The 19,701-nt window shown below is 44.3% G+C and overlaps 1 protein-coding gene across 1 annotated transcript in view, besides 3 other annotated features; it reads left to right on the forward strand.

Annotated features, from left to right (window-relative positions):
* The window catches only part of SUSD6 (sushi domain containing 6), a 103,549-nt gene that overhangs the window by 21,690 nt on the left and 62,158 nt on the right, over positions 1-19,701 (forward strand). The gene's annotated exons all lie outside the window — the stretch shown is intronic.
* Positions 4,388-4,437: an enhancer, noted in NCBI's record as "active region_8642". NCBI's record gives its function as "activates an Ori minimal core promoter by ATAC-STARR-seq in GM12878 lymphoblastoid cells {active_cell/tissue: GM12878}" and the evidence as "EXISTENCE:reporter gene assay evidence [ECO:0000049][PMID:35858748]".
* Positions 4,473-4,985: an enhancer, noted in NCBI's record as "H3K4me1 hESC enhancer chr14:70104475-70104987 (GRCh37/hg19 assembly coordinates)". NCBI's record gives its function as "activates a minimal SCP1, AML or CMV promoter by ChIP-STARR-seq in primed H9 embryonic stem cells {active_cell/tissue: H9 hESC(primed)}" and the evidence as "EXISTENCE:reporter gene assay evidence [ECO:0000049][PMID:30033119]".
* Positions 10,127-10,421: a silencer, noted in NCBI's record as "tiled region #10837; K562 Repressive non-DNase unmatched - State 6:EnhF". NCBI's record gives its function as "represses a minimal TATA promoter and a strong SV40 promoter by Sharpr-MPRA in K562 cells {active_cell/tissue: K562}" and the evidence as "EXISTENCE:reporter gene assay evidence [ECO:0000049][PMID:27701403]".

The raw sequence follows: 19,701 nt of genomic DNA on the forward strand, positions 1-19,701 counted from the left end.
AATAGCCAGAGTCTGCTATGTGACAGATGCTAAGAAAACCAGCAAGAACTGTCCCTTGCCCTGACAGATTTCAGAATGGAGTTTATTTTCTGTTCTTCCCTGATCCTTGGCCTCTCTTCCCGACCTTACCCTGCCACCCGCTATCTAGCATGTTTGCTTCGGCATTCCTGCCCCAGAAGGAATGTTCCCTCTTTACACCCTCATACTTATTCAGCCCTCAAAGCTTTCAGGTCAGATCTCCTTTCTTTCCTTTTTAAGGCGCTCTTTGATTATCTTGGTTCAGATTAATTTCTTTTTTTCCTATTTTTTCATTATTTTGTTCATAACTCACAAATAGCTGCAGCTTATTCTTCCTTATATTCTAATCATTCATATCTCACTGGTTAGCATTTTATTGCACCCATGTAGAATACTGAAATAGACATGATTGCCTTATTGTGTGTTTTGATTGTTTGCTGTTTGGGTTTGCAGCCTCCTCAACTCCACTGAAATTCTTGGTAGGCTGGGGATTGTGCCTTCTTTGCATTTTAAAGCTGTATATAGAAGATTGTCAGGAAATGATGATACATGGAATAAACAAATGTGAACCATTGGAGGTGAAAGGCGACCTGATAGTACTTTGGGAGTGCAGTTCCCAGTAGGATTTTGGGTGGCCTGGAGCACAGCAGCAGCTGGAGGCTGGGGACCATCCAGTTTTAGGACTCTGGTGACCAAGACCTGAGAGAAAGTGGAAAGGTCAGGAAGGGTCAGACTTGTCTCCCAAGAGTTTGTATTATCATGGGATTCTCTTGAAACTCTGGTTCATGTGGAAAATGTGCTTATCCTAGAAGTTGACTAGGGTTCTTGGGGAATGATGGTGAGGCCAGATGCCTCTGTTTGATCCAGGTTCTCTGCATGGTGAATCACCCCAGAAGGAGGGTGTGAAAGGTGCCTGGCCACAGGGAAGCTTATAGCTTCAGGGAATGAACTCTTAGGAGCAATGGTAAGCAGACCTGTCAGATTGAGGATTTGATTTATTTGTATTATTGGCACTTGTATTGATTTTTCTGGGGAGTTTGGGGATTTGAATGTATTTTGCAAATACAAACATTTTCTTTGTCATGTCACTGATGTGGTTTATAGGCTTATGTTGCATTTTTTCTTTGAATAGTAGAATCTTGCATGAAATTAAAAGCAGTATCCTCCACTTCTGACTTGGTAGGGCTTTAAGCATCATGCTAACTTTTCCCCTCCATCTCCCTTTCATTTCTTAGATCCACCTAGGACTGTGAAATAGGTTGGTAACATCTGTGGGCTAGGACGGTTTCAGCCAGCTAAATTCCCTGTTACACAGTTTAGATTTATGAGGCACATCTAAATTTACTGGAATTCTAGGTAGGAAGTGTGGTTGCAAAGGCAAAACTCTTTGTGATTGTAGCTTGTATGAAAATAGAAGCAGCTTGAATTTTTTTCTCACAAACTTTATCCAAAACATGTCTTTACATCTTTTATTTCTGGTAAATGGATTTTGGGGTGGCATCCCCACTACTGTTGGGATGAAGGGATATAACAAGCTAGAGGGTGATTTCACAGAATCCTGAGCCTTTGAAAAATGCTGTTGCTTTTGAAAAGTAATAAATATAGAAGCCAGGCCACCTTTTTCAGATTTATACCCTCTTCCCATTCTATTCTCAGCTAGTAAATACTATGGCCTCAGTTTGCCTAAAAAGATAATGGCTTAAGTTTATTTAAATGTCAGCAGTAGTTTGGTAATGAATTAAGTCCTTTGATGATGATGATGACGACGATGAAGATGATGATAATGTTGATGATGATGGAGGACACTCAGTAGCAGTGGACTGAGTTGTGGACTAGTTCTTTCTAAGGCTCCCAGGAAGAAAATTGCTAACTCACTTAATATGTGAAGGCCTTAGTGTCAGGTAGAGGAGGAAGCAGCTGTGGAGTGTAAAGAAATCATCTGCCCAAAGGTACACTTTAGAGAAAGACTTTGGATGAAGTTGTGTGTTTTCTTTTTGGAATAGGGTGTATTGCTTCTTTTGAGAAGGCCTTTTACAATAGTACAATAGTTCCTCTGGAACTCATAGCAGGATTCTTTTTCCACCCTCTTCTATATTTACAGCTGCTTTTCCCCTAGGGGAGCATTCATCTGTTTTAAAAAGCAGGGAGAGAAAACAAGTTCTGTCAAACAGTGAGGTTTGGAAATCAGAACTGTACTTACTTGCCTTTCAGGAGGACATATTCTAAAGAGTTGTTTTTTGGGTGGAAGAGAAGGAAGTCATCTCCTCTGCCCCCACTCCACCCAAGGCACACCACACACACACACACACACACACACACACACACACACACACACACACATTTTCACCTCCACCCAGAGGTTCCTTGTGGCAGATGTGAAGGAGTTTAGAACACAGGGTTCCCATTATAACCCCTTTGTTGTACGAGACCAAACGTGGCTTTTCAGCCCTAGAGTAAATCTTTTTCTGGCAGGCCACTTTCTTGGCCTTTATATCCATGTCTAGGGCCCTGGGCTGGCATTGGCCCTGAAGGCCAGGGCCAGCCTTTGGGGATTGCACTTGAGCATGTGGTCAGGGACAGCATCTGAGGGCATTTTGGACAGGAAAGATTTCTGATTATTAGGCTGTTTTCATCACACCTATGCTTCAGGGTCATAGAACTGAGGATTGCCAGGGACTGAGATGAATTTAGTAAGTTGGTTTAACCCCAGTGCCTCTTATTCTCTTTCTGCACAGTTTTTAGTCAGCTAGTGGGTGTGGACATGCATCTTTGTTTTACTATGAGAAGAGGAGGAATTGTGCCTTAGCAGTTGAATAACTGTGCCTTCTATTTAGATTCTGTAGAGGGTTACACTCAAAGCTAATGAGTGCTTTCTTCCACTCTGCACACACTCTTGCTGCCTGGAGTGGGCGGCAGGCTATAGAACCACAATAGAGCAAGTACTGTTGCTGTTGAAGGCATAGACGGAGGTGACAGTAAGGGCAGCTAGGCCCTGAAATTCCAGTGGCTCAGACCCCTGGCTGATGGCTTACCTCCTGAGGTGAGACCAAGAGGAAGGCCTTCAGCTTCCCTGAAATGAGTGCTTCTCACAGTTAAGGTAGTGTGACCAGCCAGGGGTAGGGACTGGCTTCCTGAGGAAGAGGGTGGGAGAGCCTTAATTAAGCCTGCCTGGTTTGGCAGTACCTCAGACTCGCCTCCTCTTTCTGTGTTGGCTGATAATTTCCTTCAGCTCTTAGAACAACTCTTCATTTCCTGGGGGAACCCATTGTTGCCAATATACACTCACAGAGCCTATCTCCGGTACTGCCATGTGTGCTTTCTGCCTCCTTTCCAGAAGAGGCAGGTAGCCAGTCTTTTTTTCTCATGAGCTGTTCCTACCTTGTTGGAGTTCCTGGAGGCTAGTGCTGCTGGACCTCCAGTCTGGCAGAGGCCTGGACGAGAGCTATTCCTTGGGTTCTCAGAACAGACCTAGCCTAGTGGAGAACAGTTCTGGGCCTGGCTCTGTGTCCAGAAGGGCTCAGTCAGTGGTCAGATTCTGATTGGGAGATATATGAGGAAACTTTGTTTGGTGAGAGTTAGGAGAATGGGGTTCTGGTTCAGCCATTCTCTCAAGAAGTCATGATCATTTGATAGGCCTCAGTTTTCCTCTCCTAAAATGGGTAGATTGGATTTTATAAGATGATCCCAAAGTTCCTTAAGGCAGTAATGTGTTAGGATTCCGTGACAAACCCGGGAGTCTGCCCCTGGTCTAGGTGACCAAAGTTAGCAAAGGCTGGGACAGCACAGATTGCAGTTCCCAGGTCTCTTTTGCCTCCCAGCTTTTTGATGTGTTTCTTCTCCTTGGAATGCCCCACCACTCCCTGTACCCACCTCTTTCTGCTCTGTCTGGCTAATACCTTCTAAAGCCAGGTATCAGCTTAGACTGCCGCTTGCCCCATACTTGTGTGGGTGCCTCTCCTTGGTGCTGGCATTACACCCTGTGCTCAGTACTTACCGCACCATATTACCGTCTGTTTCCTTGTTCTTCCTGACCTTACCTGAGCTTCTTGAGGGCAGAGACTGTCTGCTATCACCACTGTATCCCTCATTGCTGGTGCAGCGCCTGGGATGTGGTATATACACAGCAAATGTTGAAGGAATGAATGTCCCCCCCTAACCAGGGTCAGCATACCCCAGTGCGCTCTGGGAACTGTTCTCTGACCCTCTCCACCCTTACCCTGCCTAAGGCTCTCTCTTTCTGAGCTGTGTGTGGGTGCTGGAGAGCCTTGGATAATGCTGAGTTGTTTTTGAAGTGTGTCTCATTGTGGCAAAGCATTGGGTGATGTTGCCATCCCCACCCCCAGGACACTCTTGCAAGAATTGCTTCCACCAGGGATGGGCATTGACTTTGACCTGGTCCTCCTCATCTCCAGCCCTGGAGGAGGGGCAGGCAAGCACGTGCAGATTGCTGTCCTCTGACCAGCTGCCCAGGGCTGGGCCATCTGCTGCTTGTGACAGCGGGTGGGGTGAGAGGGGTGAGTGACCTGTGCAGGGGAGGGAGTGTGGGGCAGCAGCATAGTCACTTCAGTGCACTGACTGCATGACAGAGTCCAGCCCCCCTTCTCCCCACGTTCTATCTTCTTTTCCAGTGCTCAGTTATGCTATGCTTCATCCAGGTCTTGGTTTTGTTCCAGCTGCTGCCCCCCACCACTCTGCTAGGAGAACTCTTGCTGTGTTTTTGTTAACTCTGTGTGTGTGCTTTGCCCTTTTGCCTATGCCTCCAAGAATCTTTATGTTACATAAGACAGCAGCAGCAAAAAACAGAAACAAAAACAAAAAATGTTAGAAATGAAACTTTGGACCCTTGTTATTCTCTGTTCAGATGCAAATGATGAATCTCTTTCCATCAGAGTTTATACCTTTCTGTTTACCACCCCGTTTTCTGTCCCTCCTCCTGGAGAGCCTTTGAATGGCAGGGATGGGCTGAATCACTCACTTGGAAGGACTGTAATTTAGCTTGTGCTTCAAACCTTGCCTCTTTCTGGCCTTGTAAGGACCTAAGAAAGACGCAAAAAGGAAGTAATCTACCCCCATCACTCTTGGTGTGAGTTTGAAGGTTCTGAACTGGGGTGGGGTGGGGAGTGTGTGTGTGTGTGTGTGTGTGTGTGTGTGTGTGTAATTGTGTGTGTGTGGGATTGAAGGATGAGGGTTGTGGACAGTCTTAAAAGCCACCTTTACCAAATGAAGAGGTGACAAAGCAGGGACTGGAAGGGCAGCATACCCTAACCAGGACTTCCCCAAACTTTAACATGCATATGAATCACCTGGGGAACCTTACTAAAATGCAGATTCTGATTCAGTAGATCTGGGATGAAGGCTGAAATTCTTCATTTCTAACAAGCTCCCAGGTGCTGCCAGTGCTGCTGTTAATGGACCATACTTTGAATAGTAAGGCTGTGTCCTTCCTATTCCACCTTTTAATAGTTGATTTAAAAGACTGACCTAGGGAAGGCAAGACAGGGGCTAGTCAGGACTTGCGTAATTTAAACCCAAGGTCCTGGGCTGGCTTCTCAGCCAGTGTCTACAGAGCCTTTTAGGCGGGCCCCTCTTATCTAAGCTGCTGGCTTCTCTGAGCTCCTTTGGTCCAGTTTGGTTTCCAAGGTATAAGAACCACAGCCCTTCAGAGGGTGTGTGTGCTTACTCACAACAAGATTGGGTCCTTGCCCGTTTCTCTTTGGATCATTAGAAGTAGATAAGGCCAGGCCGGGTGCAGTGGCTCACGCCTGTAATCCCAGCACTTTGGGAGGCTGAGGCGGGTGGATCACAAGGTCAGGAGATTGAGGTCTCGATCCTGGCTAACACGGTGAAACCCCGTCTCTACTAAAAATACAAAAAATTAGCCAGGCGTTGTGGCGGGCACCTGTAGTCCCAGCTACTCGGGAGGCTGAGGCAGGAGAATGGCGTGAACCCGGGAGGCGGAGCTTGCAGTGAGCCGGGATCCAGCCTGGGCAACACAGCGAGACTCCGTCTCAAAAAAAAAAAAAAAAAAAAAAAAAAGAAATAAGGCCAAACCTAGCGTTTAAAACAGAAGTTTAGAGCTGAAAGAACTTTTACTCTTTTCCAGTTTATTTTACTGAGGGGGAAATGGGCCCAGAAAAGTTTTGTTACATGTCCAGAATCACAGCCAGGGGCAGAGCTGGGGTGAAAAACCAGATATCTTAATTCCCAAGCCCCTCTCTGAGGGAGTGTAAACCTGAGTTAGAGATGAGAGAATCACGGAGTTGGTCTGGGGACATGCTGGTTGGACAAAAAGGCTTTCCAGTGGTTTGGGGGAGTTTTGCACCACATGTACAACTAAGGTGGATCAACTGACATCTTGGCAGCCCATCCTTTGTTCACTTAGGCCAGGGCTTTCATCTGCAGCATCACTGATGTTGGATCAAGTGATTCTTTGTTGTATGGGGTTGTCCTGTGTGTTGTGGGATGTTTAGTTGACATGCCTTGCTCTATCCATTAGATACCAGTAGCACCTTACCCCCAAGGTGTGACAACCAAATATGCCTCTAGACATTGCCAAATGGGGGAGGTGGCACAAAATTGGTCCCAGTTAGAAAACCACTGGTTCAGGCAACTAGTATTTTGGGGAAGAGAGTCCCTCTGGGGCACCTACACTGTTTTTTTTTTTTTTTTTTTTTTTGCGGGGGGAAGTGTGCATTAGTCTCAGATTATAAAGGTAGCATGGGTACCAGCCTTCCTGGGAGTTTATTTACAGTTTAGTTTATAGTTTAGTGGGGGAGGGAGGAACCACGAAACTATTAACTATAGACTCCCGGGAAAGCTCCCACCTTAATGCCTCCTCCAGGATGTGTAGAGACCCAGGCTGGACTCTGAAGAATGGGGTCAAAGCCCAGGGTGCTTAATGAGGAAGAGATTTTGCTGTCCTGGGCTGGATTGCATAGCTAAGAACTGAGTAACTATCATTCACTTACTCCTTAAGAGAATTCTTCCATTCTGAAAAAAATTTATATATATATACACACACACATATAATATATAATATATATATTTGGAGACAAGATCTTACTCTGTTGCCCAGGTTGGAGTGCAGTAGCACAATCATAGCTTACTGTAACCTCGAACTCCTTGGCTCAAGTGATTTCTCCTGTCTCAGTCTCCCGAGTAGCCAGGACTACAGGTGCACACCACCACACCTGGCTGATTTTCTTTTTATTTTTTGTAGAGACAGGGTCTCACTCTGTTGCCCAGGTGGTTTCAAACTCCTCACCTTGAGTGATCCTTCTGCCTCAGCCTCCCAAAGCACTGGGATTACAGGCATGAGCCACTGCACCTGGTGTGAAAAATAAATTTTATCTGAATTTGTAGAGGGCAGTGAGACACATTAACCAACAAATATCTACACTTGAAGGGAGAGAGACCAGCTCAAGCCTGACATTGGTAGACTAACTCCTTATTTTTTATTTCTAACTTGATTTTATTCTGATATGGGATGAATCCTCTGATAGCTTTTCCTGTCTCTTTTCCAGTGTGTTAAGTGATTATTGCTGTAAGACTGGAATTACAGTCTGTAACGTTCTGAGGACATAGATATAAAACATGGGTAAATGCCCTTTTTAGATGTGAGCCTAAGAAAGGGTTTTTATCCTTTTTCAGTTTCAGAGGATACTGTACTTGCAAATGCTTTTAAGGCCACAGAGTTCTCACCCTTGTACTCAACACTAGGCCTTCCTAAATATTATTCCAGTGCACAAAAAGCATTAGTGATGGAATGGAGCCTCCATTGCCTCCTGGCTTGCATTATTCCTGACACTGAATCTGCTGTAATTCTTTGCTCCTCTGTCTGCCATGTGTCTAATTCCCTGCCCCATGGCTACTTTTAGGATTTTCTTTATCACTGTTTTTTTAACATTTCGATTATGATGTACCTTGTGTTTTCTTTTTGTGTTTCTTCTTCTTCTTGGGGTTTGATGAGCTTCTTGTATCTGTTTGTGCATAATTTTCATATAATTTGGAAAATTTGGGGCATTCTTTTCTCAATATTTTTTCTGTGCCTTGCTACCTCTCCCCAACCATTACTCCTGTTCTATTAGGCTGCTTGATATATCCTACAGTTCAGTGATGTTCTGTTCTTTTTTCAGTCTTTTTTCTCAGTGTATAATTTTGGATAATTTCTTTTGCAAATTTACTATTTTTTTCTTCTGCATTGTCTAATCTGCTGTTAATCCTATCCTGTGTACTTTTTATTTCAGGTATTGGTATTCTTCCCTCTAGAAGTTCAATTTGAATATTTGAATCTTTATTTTTTTTGAGACAGGGTCTCGCTCTGCCACCCAGGCTGGAGTGCAGTGCTGTGATCATAGCTCGTTGCAGCCTCAACCTCCTGGGCTCAAGCAGTCCTCCCACCTCAGTCTCCTGAGTAGCTGAGATTACAGGTGCATGCCACTACACCCAGATAATTTAAAAAAAATTTTTTTTTTTTTGTAGAGAGGAGGGGGGGTCTCCCTATGTTGCCCAGGCTGGTCTCGAACTCCTGGAATCAAGAGATCCTCCTGCCTTGGCCTCCCAAAGTGCTGGGGTTACAGGCACAAGCCACTGTGCCTAGCCACTTCAAATATTCTTTATGACTTTTCTCTCTTCATCATGCTCGTGCTTTGTTCTTCTTGAACACATGGAGTATATTTATAATAGAGATTTAACATCCTTGTCTACTAGTTCTGTCATCTGTCATTTCTTGATCTGTTTCTGTTGTTTGATTATTCTCCTAGTTTTGGCTCATATCTTCCTGGGCTTTATTTTGCATGCCTGTTAATTTTTTATTGAAAGCCAATCATAGTTCTACCTTGCTGGGTGCTGGAACTTTTTGTATTTTTTAAAATACTTTTGGGCTTTGTTCTCAGGAGCAGTTCAGTTACTTGGAATTGGTTTGATCCTTTCATGGCTTACTTTTAAGCTTTGTTAGGGTGAGTCCGGAATAGCTAACATAACTAAGCTGGTCCCACTTGGAGGCAAAAACCTTCTGAAGATTCCATCCAGTGCCCTGTGTATTAGAAGACTTTTCTGCCTTGGCTGGTGGGAGCATGTATTAGTCTGTTTTCACACTGCTGATGAAGACATACTCAAGACTGGGAAGAAAAAGAGGTTTGATTGGACTTACAGTTCCACATGGCTGGGGAGGCCTCAGAATCATGGCAGGAAGTGAAAGGCACTTCTTACATGGTGGCGGCAAGAGAAATGAGGAAGAAGCAAAAGTGGAAACCCCTGATAAACCCATCAGATCTTGTGAGACTTATTCACTATCATGAGAATAGCATGGGAAAGACCAGCACCCGTGATTCAATTACCCCGCCCCCCGCCCCCCTGCTGGGTCCCTCCCACAACACGAGAGAATTCTGGGCGATACAATTCAAGGTGAGATTTGGTTGGGGACACAGCCAAACCATATCAGAGCATGAACTATTTCTGACTCTGAGTGAGTTCTAGGGGTTGTGCCACCCACTTCTTTCTGATCATTATTTTCCCACCCTTGCTAGTTTCCTCAGAGGCATGCACAGATCAGTACTCAGCCCAAAACTCAAAGGGGTCCCTCTGCAGATGTTTGGTGGTTTTGCTCTTTGCAGCTCTCTCCTTTTCAATTAATTTGCCCTGCAAATTCTAGCCACTTGGGCCTCTCCAAATTTCCAACTCTGTTTTTTCAACTGAGTGACATTGCTGAACTCTTTCAGGTTTCTCTGCCCTACCCTATGGTCTGGAAACTCTCAAGGGAGTTAAGTGGGGCAGTAGTAGGGCTCACTGCGTTTTTTCCCCCATTTCTCAAGGATTACTGCCCTGTGCTGCCTGTTGTCCAATGTCTGAAAACCGTTATTTTATCTGGTTTTTCAGTTGTTTAGGGAAGGAGAATAAGTTGAGTCCCCATTATTCCACCATGACTAGAGGTAGATATTCCTCAGCTGTCCCTCAAATCAGGTATTAACCTTGGATGTCTTTTCCTTCTGTGTTCACTTATTGAAACATGGATCATTTAGACAAATCTTATGGTAATTCAGCCAGATTCACATCATGTCAGTTTGCCAAATATTTATCTGGCACCTGCTATGTCCAAAAGAATAGTATAGCCAGTATCTTGCTGAACGTGGTATAATCTGTAACTTTACCCATATTCTAATGCTGCACCTTCTAGCAGAAGATTCTGTGCATCCTGACATGCATGTGACACAAATACACTTTGAGTCTTCTTCCTGTACCTCCTGATCATGGTCCCATTAAACCTGGGCAAACAACTGAACTAACTAGTCAGAATTGGTGAGCAAACAGCAGGTGCTTGGCTGTCTGCCTATTCATGAGTCAGGCCCAGACAGCCGTGTGTGGGGAGGGAAGAGAGCATTAAGTCTCTGTGTGTGGGTGAGCACCTCCATTTTACCTGGCCTTATTCTGTGCCAGATACTATATTCAATTTCAAAAATGTGTGACTCATTGACTCTGTAATTCCATGAAGTATAGGTCTGTTACCTCAATTTTATATGTGACAAACAGAGGCTCACAACAGTAAAGCAGCATACCTAGGCCCTGTGAGAAGCTAGAGGTAGAGTCAGGATTTGAATTCCCTTTTGTGTGACTCCAGAGACTATGTACTATTCACTAGACTACATTGATTGACCCTGTAATTTTCTCTGTCACTTCCCTCTTCTGGACTCCAGCTTATCTTCCTGTTTTATCTTTGACACGTTGGCTGTATATCTCCCATGACTTTTCACTTTGTACCTCATGTTGTAATTATTTGTGTTTGTGTCTTATATATATACACAATATACAGTAGACCGTAAACTCTTAAGGGCGTATGCTTCCTTTACCTCTCAAGGAATCTCGTACATGTAGGTGCCCAATGTATGTGTTGAATAGTCACTGAGTTCCTTAAGAAAGAAGCATGTTAGGAATGAGTTCATAAGCCCTGTCTGGAGGGAAATATCAAATTCTCTCATTAATTTATGATGTTTCTTCTTCATCTTCTCTGTGTTTATCATAATCCCTTTTAACATATTCCAGAATGTTGCCTGAATTAATTAATTAATTATGGCTGGGCACGGTGGCTCACACCTGTAATCCCAGCACTTTGGTAGGCTGAGGCTGGCGGATCACGAGGTCAAGAGATCGAGACCATCCTGGCCAACATGGTGAAACCCTGTCTCTTCTAGAAATAGAAAAATTAGCTGGGCTTGGGGGCGTGTGCCTGTAGTCCCAGCTACTCGGGAGGCTGAGGCAGGAGAATCGCTTGAAGCAGGAAGTTGCAGTGAGCCAAGATTATGCCACTGCACTCCAGCCTTGCGACAGAGTGAGACTCCGTCTCAAAAAAAAAAAAAATTAATTATTTCTCAGGACGTGTCCTCATCTGATTTGCCTGGATTTTATAAAGTTATTCATTTGGTGCCTTTGTCTGAACTTTGCCTAATTTGGATTACTTTTGGAATCTCTATTTGGACGTTTGAAGGACTCTCCTTTATGTTAATTAGTTTAAGCAAACTCCTTGATTCCTGATTTAGGGCCCCACATGCAGGGAACTGGAAGTATGACTGGAGCTAGAACTAGAACATATAGACCTTGGCAGAGGGACTTTGTACAATTAGAAGGTGAGGTAAGGGTATAGGTGGCGGCAGGGGCATGGGGCTAATCAAAGGGAAGGAACAGTGGGCAAGTTCCTACTTCTCATTTTTGCTTGTACCTCACAGTCCCACCTTGACAGCTTACAGGAAGCTTGGGTAATTTATGATGAAGAGGACAGGAGGAATCATGGTTTGGTTATAAATTAGGAGGCTTCCTGGAAGTTACACAAGATGGAGAATATTTGGAGCCAGAAGACAGGATCTTGTTTGGCTTGAGTGTGCACCTCATTGGGGCTGTTAAGCTTCATTAGATGGAGGTGAAGACATGTCCCTGGAATCCTAAACCTGAAACTCAGGGGAAAATACTCAGGTTAGTTTCTGACTAGAAAGGAGGGAAATGGCAGAAACTGGGACCATATGTATGGAGAACCTTAAGGCCTCAGATGTATTAGGGAAGGTCACCTCTTTGGCCCTGCCACTAGGCTATTTTTTTTCCATTCATGAATCCTATAGAAGAGGTAACAATTTCAGGGGAGGGGATGATGGGGTAGAGAGACTTTGTTGTTGTTGAACACTAAGGAAGCAGGAAACTTTAAGCTGTATCCCCAACTTTTACCTAGCTTTTGCTAAACACAGAGTGTGGAAGTGTTAGTTCAGAGAGACTTTCCATGGAAGAGGTGGAGGGTGTCTCTGAGCTATCTGGACCATTTAGGAAGCCTTAACTCAAATCATTGGGTTAATTGAGAAGGTATACCTTATAAGACACAAACCCCCTCTAGTTATCATCCAGTCTTTCTTCTCCCTTCTTTTTCACTCCCTTCCCCAAATAGTTTTGCCCTTATTACGTCCACTTTCTCACTTTTTTTTTTTTTTGAGACAGCATCTCGCTCTGTCACCCAGGCTGGAGTGCAATGGCGCGATCTCAGCTCACTGTAACCTCCGCCTCCCTGCTTCAAGCGATTCTCCTGCCTCAGCCTTCCAAGTAGCTGGGACTACAGGTGTGCACCACCACGCCTGGATAATTTTTGTATTTTTAGTAGAGATGGGGTTTCACCGTGTTGGCCAGGTTAGTCTGGAGCTCCTGACCTCAGGTGATCCGCCCGCCTTGGCCTCCCAAAGTGCTGGGATTACAAGCGTGAGCCACTGCGCCTGGCCTCCCACTTTTAATTCATGTTAAATTTGATATAATCTGCCTTCACCACTCCGATAAAACTGTTCTTGATTAGGTCACCAGTGATTTCCTAGTGGCCAGATCCAGTGGGCCTTTTTCAGTCTTCGTCTTTCTGGGCCTTTGCTGTATCTGCCACTTCTCATGTTTTCCTTGAGTCTCTCTGTCTCTCTCTTGACATCTGTGTTGCACATGCCCCTGGTTTCCATGTACCTTTTGGAGTATCTCTCATAGGCTTTCCTTCCTCAGTATGCCCATTATAAGTTAGCATTCTCCCTAGGATTCTGTCCTTAACTTTCTTCTCAACCTGTCCTCTTTCCTAGGTGAGCTCATCTATTTTGCATGGTTTCAACTGTCACTTACAGGTTGATCACTCCAGGGCTACATCACTCCAGGGCTACATCCCAAGCTCAGAGTGCTCTATAGGGTTTCACATTCATTTCTAATTTGCCTGCTAGACCTTTCTACCAGTTATCCCTCAGGTACCCCAGCTCAACATATTAAAGAATAATCTGAATGAAATTCATTATGTTCCCTGACCAAACCTGCTTATTCACCTGTATTCTTTTTCTCCTGTGGTAGCTTCTACCATTTATGCAGTTACTTAGGCCAAAAACTTAGGCTTTTTTTTTTCCATCTTTTTTTTTTTTTTTTTTTGAGACAGGGTATCACTCTGTCGCCCAGGCTGGAGTGCAGCGGTGCAATCTTGGCTCACTGCAAGCTCTGCTTCCCAGGTTCACACCATTCTCCTGCCTCAGCCTCCCTAGTAGCTGGGACTACAGGCACCCGCCACCATGCCCGGCTAATTTTTTGTATTTTTAGTAGAGACGGGGTTTCACCATGTTAGCCAGGATGGTCTCGAACTCCTGACCTCGTGATCCGCCCGCCTTGGCTTCCCAAAGTGCTCGGATTACAGGCATGAGCCACAGTGCCCAGCCCCAGGCATCATCCTTTATTGTTCTCACTCACCTCATCCTATTAGTTTTTGATATATTCTATAGCATTTGGCACATCACAGGCACTGAATGAATGAATGGATGGATGGATGAAAATGTTTGTTTATTTCATCCAAATTTAATTACAATTAAGTACCTTGGCCTTGGTGAAGCTGAATGCTCCTGGTTACACTAACTTTTGGGAAGGTCATTTGATTTTTGGCCACACTGAAATTATATCAGGAAGACTCTTTTGAAAGATAAATACTTTGTTGGAAGGATTAGTCATTATTAGAAAGGGGTGGATTGGTCACTCTGCTATCTTTTAGGGCTCTCTAAGGAACTGCTGAGAAGTTTGTTTATACAGTTAGAGGTGAGGTGGGTGAAGTCAAATTGTGCTGGCTGGTGGAGTGGGGGTGGGGTTGTCCATGGTGCTCATGGGAGTACAGATAGTGTGTTGGTGAACTTGCCACAATGCTACGGATTTAATGCAAGAAATAGGCAAAGCTTTTCTGCTGGGGGAAGTAATATGCCCCATTTCACTCACTAATGGATGTCCTAATTGTATGCTAGTATTTCTAACATAAAGGCTGAGGATGTGTATTTAACCGTTTTGCCAAGTTTATCTCCCTTTTCTTGCTGTCCAACCCCCTGGAAAAAAAAAAAAGGAAAAAAGGAGAAAGTGACTTAAAGAATCAGGATTTGGGCTGGGTACAGTGGCTCACGCCTGTAATCCCAGCACTTCGGGAGGCCAAGGCAGGCAGATCACATGAGACCAGAAGTTTGAGACCAGCCTGGCCAACATGGTGAAACCCTGTCTCTACTGAAAATACAAAAATTAGTCGGGCTTGGTGGCGCACACCTGTACTTCTAGCTAATCGGGTGGCTGAGGCGTGAGAATCACTTGAACCCGAGAGGCAGAGGTTGCCGTGAGCCGAGATTGCGCCACTGCACCCCAGCCTGAGCGACAGAGCATCTCAGGAAAAAAAAAATAAAGAATCAGGATATCAGGATTTGGAACCAGAGAAGCTCTTCAAGTAGAGATCGTCTGGTCCAGCCCTGCATTTTCAGATGATGATGACAATAATAATGATAGATGGTGATGAATATAATAGTAACTACTATTTTTGATGACTTACTAAGTCACAGGCACTATGCTATGTACTTTATATATATTTCCCCATATAATACTTAAAATATCCCTGTGAGATAGGCATTATTAAGTACCATTTTATAGAAAGGAAATAGAGGTCCGGAAAGCTTGGATAACTACATTGAGGTAAAGAGAATGCTGAAGTAGCTATCACGCAGAGAGATGAAGCAGCCTCCTTGTTCAAGGTCAAGTTTTCCAGTTAAAGGAGAAACACAAGTAGAATCCAAGTCTCTTGACCTTGAGCTCAGTTGAGCACCTATTTTTTGTTTTGACCTGAGAACTCACTTTCTCTGGTCATTTTTGTCTTATTTCTCACTATCCTTTTAATTTCAGTAAAATTGAATGAAATAGAGGGAAGGATGGTTTAGAGTTGGGGTTTTTGGTGAGTTTTTAAAGTTTATTTTTAAATAGGCAGCTTTCCCAGACTGACTGGGAATGTAGCAGAAGGCCTGAGAACCAGGAAGTGACACAGACCTGTTTATACCATCCCACTCCCAGGCCTTTGGAAAACGATCCACAGAGATGGTAAAAAGTAAACATAACTGCATCAGCCAGCTCTCTAGGGTTTGCTATTTTTGACCTGGAGGAGGTGTTTCCTGCATAGCTGTAAGTACTCGGAATACCAAAATTTAGCTCCTAAACATTCTTTGAGTGAAGGTATATAGACAGACAGACATTTTTTGTTACCAGACAGCAGCATTCAGTGACTGTAGGCAGACAAAATTAAGTTTTTTTTCCCTCCTCTCTCTGCCATCCTTTTGGTGAGTTGTTCTTCCATTTCTTTATCTTTCTTTGTAAGTAGCACTGTGCATGCAAAACACTGTCCTGGGAGCTCTAAATTTGTGCATGGGTTCAAGGTCCAACTCAAAGCTTTCTCTTTCACTTCTCCCTACTCCCATCAGAAGTCTTTGTTCCTGTGTCCTCTGTGTTCTCATAGCACTTTTTAAAAAACCTTCTTTGGGGCCCTAGTAACAATTTGACAGTGTTATATAGATAAACATAATTCCTCTCACGTAAGTTGTGAATTCCTTGAGAGTAAGAATTGAACTGTGCCCCAATTCATCTCTATGATCACCCAAGCCTTGCATAGAAGACAGCCAGTAAATATTAGCTGAATTGCAGTATAGTCATTGGAGACACAGAGCCCTAAGAAGTCAGCTTTAGCAAATCGGCTTCCCGGACTTTATTTGCCAACTGGGTATTGAAGCCTGTTCCACTCAGCCCTGATGGGAACCAAGCAGAGAGATGTGATGACACATGAGATATATCTCTAGGGTCTAGGAACCAATTACAGTCGCCTCTGCCAAGCATCTGTTTTGCTACCTGGCCAAAATTTCAGGATTTATATAATCTTTTCCCTCTTGTTTTATACATGCTGTTATTTTGCCATTTTGTATTTTTCTATACAAATTATATCTTGTGAGTTTATCTTTTTTTCTCATTCACTCGAGAAGTATTGTTGAGCACTTGGGGGCAGAGAATTGGTGGTCTCTGCAGGAGTTTATTACCTGCGGAAATGCAGCATACAAAAGTTAAATAACTGTGAGTGGCCTTCGGGGAGGGATATGATTGACTGTCCTATTCCTGGTCCAGGCAGGGATGCTGAGGGTTTGGAAGAGCCTTCCATGCCTTTGGGCTGAACTGAGAAATTCTCCCCAAACTAAGATGGGAACTAAGCTTGACCTTTTATTTGGAAAACAAAAGAGCAGGGAGCCCTATTAGGGAAGCAGGAGGAGGAAAGACTTCCAGGCCTCTTGAATTCCATTTATCTGTAAAATGGGGCTAATTCCACCTATTTAATGAGGTAATGAGTGTGTGTATGTGTATATTCCCTTAGTCTGCCAGAAACTAATATTATTTTAGGATAGTCACAAACAATAGCTGTTTAATTTGGAGGGGAGGTAGTGCTAAGTGCTTTAAAAAATTTTTAGAATTTGATGGGAAAGAATGTGGGAGGCTCACTTGTTTAACCTGTTGGCTGTTCTCTTGTCTAAACTAACATTGTGTTTTGAGCCTAGTCTCAGGCAGTGTTTCCAAACCAGCTGAAACAGTGCCCTTTGGGGAGTCTAGTGGGGGTCAGTCACGGCCTGTTAGAACAGGAAGGGGCTTAGCCAGCATGAATTTGAGCACCCACTGTTTCATACATCGTCCTACATGTCTCACGTTTGTCTTAATTTCACTGCACAGCAACCCAATGAGGTGGGTATCATTTATCCAGTTTACAGACGGCGACTGTACCTAGACCACCCAATTGCCCTAGACCACCCAATTGATAGTATCTGCCATAATTTTTCCATGATACTGGCCTCCCTGAGAGATACATAGTTCAAGTGTTCTGTTTTACTGATGAGAAAACAGGCATGGAAGCAAAGTGCTTGTCCAAGGTTGGCCCCTCAGTCATGTTGAAGCTGGGTTTGGAGAAGGGGTTTCCTACCTTCAGGTCAGGAACTTACGACAGGCTTTGTTCCTGCTCACAGGCACTTTGCCTCCTCCCCCCTCTTTTTCTGTCTGGTCTTATTTGTTCTCTCTTGCCTTCTCTCTTGCATCTTTTCTCCCTTTCTCCCTGGGCCCCTGTATCTCTGCAGTGTGCAGAGGCTGGGTTTTGTTGTTGTTGTTGTTGTTGTTAAGATGTGTTATTTTTTGAAAGCATTTTAGGAACACTGTGTACGGATAGTCCATACAAATGTGCTGATGGATTGATTAAACCCTAAAGGGAAAGTGGACTGTCCTGGGTTTGCTGCAATGCAGAGGGATATGGATGGTAGGGATCCGTCTTGGGAAGATGTAGGGGAATGTGCTGCTCAGTCAGAACAATGAGGATAGAGTTAATGTTGCTTCCTTCCAGTCAGAGCCTGTGTTGACTTACTTTTTAGAGGAAATACTTTTGGGCCCCTCCTATTCCCTAGAAGACATTCCAGTTTTCTTACAGCTGAAAGGTCCTTTGGGGATCATCCAGGTTCACCCCTGAGACAGAAAGACTCACTGACTTGCCTGAGGCCAAACCGCTTTTCAGTGGCTAGGACCTAGGCTGTCCCTCCTGTCCTGTGATCAGGTCCCTGCTGCAGTCATCCTGCTGTTAGGTGCTAGAGACTTGTTAAAGAGAAGACTTAGGTGGGGTGGTAGTGTGTCTGCTGGCTTTCCTGTTGTCTGAAGTTGGGGAAAGCGTGTTGCCCAGATGATGTGAGCAATTCTGGGGGTGGAAGACAAGGGCGCAGGGAATATCAAAGCAATTCAAAAAAACCTCTGACACTGTGTAATGGCTTAGGTGGCTTAAGAGGAAAGCTGAGGGTAATGTTTGTGATTTGGAGGCTGTGTGATTTTAACAGGAGTTTGATGTTTGCCTTTTCAAGTAGGAGCTGGAGATTAAAGGAAATGGATAAGTTAATATTCTGGCCTGAAAGGATGTCAGAGTCCGGTAAAATATGTGGCTGTCGAAGCACTCAAGTGTTAGTGGCAAAAAGGAAAGGGGAAGATATAGAAGTTAGTAGGACTGGAAGAATCCATTGATCCACAATGGGAGAAGATAGAAGGCATCTATAAATAACTGAATTTTGGGGGGTAGGAGGCATTAAGGTCCAATAAGTGTTTAGATATGTTTTGATACTGTAGCCTGGCCATTTCAGGGTGAGTAGGAGTACAGAGGGGAGATGTTGCAGGGAAGAAAGAGAGGTTAAGGAAGGGCCTGGGCAGCTTTGGCTGTATTAGTCATTTCTCTTACTTATCACACCCCTCTGGGGAACTTTGGACTTCAAAGTGTTAGGACTTGTTATCATTACAACCTGAAATGTAATTAGCGGGTTAATTTCTGTTCATGTTTCTGGAACTGTTCTTTGTCCTTTCTCATCATGTGGCAGGATCAAGGTTGGTGAACATAGTTAATTAAAGGAATAAACTCTGTTGTTCTGGACTCTCACCACTACTACCATTATCCTCTGTCTAGATTAGTCTGAGGCAAGAAAAGGATTTATGTTGGTTTTATCATCCCAGTTCCCTCTCTTAACTAATGGACAGAGGAGCCATGGTTTAGGAAAAAATTTGTTCTAAAAATTACATGTAGAGGTCGAGACAGGCAGATCACTTGAGGTCAGGAGTTAGAGACCAGCTTGATTGACATGGCAAAACCCTGTCTCTACTAAAAATACAAAAATTAGCCAGTCATGGTGGCGTGCGCCTGTAGTCCCAGCTACTCAGGAGGCTGAGGCACGAGAATCACTTGAAGCCAGGAGGCAAAGGCTGCCGTGACCCAAGATTGTGCCACTCCCACTGCACTCCAGCCTGGGCAACAGAGTGAGACTCTGTCTCGGAAAAAATAAATAAATAAATAAATAAAAATAAAAATTACATGTAAACGGAGTCTGACTTTACCCACGCAGCACCTGGGAGCCACGCTTGACTGAATCAGACCCCTCTTGCCTTTAGGAGAAGTGTTTGATAGTGTTTGATAGTGTGAGATGACCTTGCACCTTCAGCAGGACTATGGCATTCTCAGCAGGGGTGGGCCCCAGGCACGTGGACTGAGGAGATCTGGGCCCTGGCTGTTTCCTGGCTGGCCCTAGCTGCTGCTGCTGTTGCCTCCCAAGGCCAGAGCCATTTTTGAAGGTGACTCCAGGGCACCTTTAAACTTATTAGCAGGCTCTTGGGTTAACTTGGAAGCATCTGTGGCAACAACAAGCAAGTAAACCATGTGAACTTTGGGCTTGTGTTGCAGGCCCTTACCAGAAGCCCACCGTGCGTGTCATCATTTCTCAGCCCTCTGCTGTCTTGGCTTCTGGCTAAGACAATAAACATAAGCCCCAGGTGTTTCTAGTTTACAAAGCATTTCCTCATATTTTGTTC

Source organism: Homo sapiens, chromosome 14, assembly GCF_000001405.40.
Source record: "Homo sapiens chromosome 14, GRCh38.p14 Primary Assembly".
Classification (NCBI taxonomy): Eukaryota; Metazoa; Chordata; class Mammalia; order Primates; family Hominidae; genus Homo; species Homo sapiens.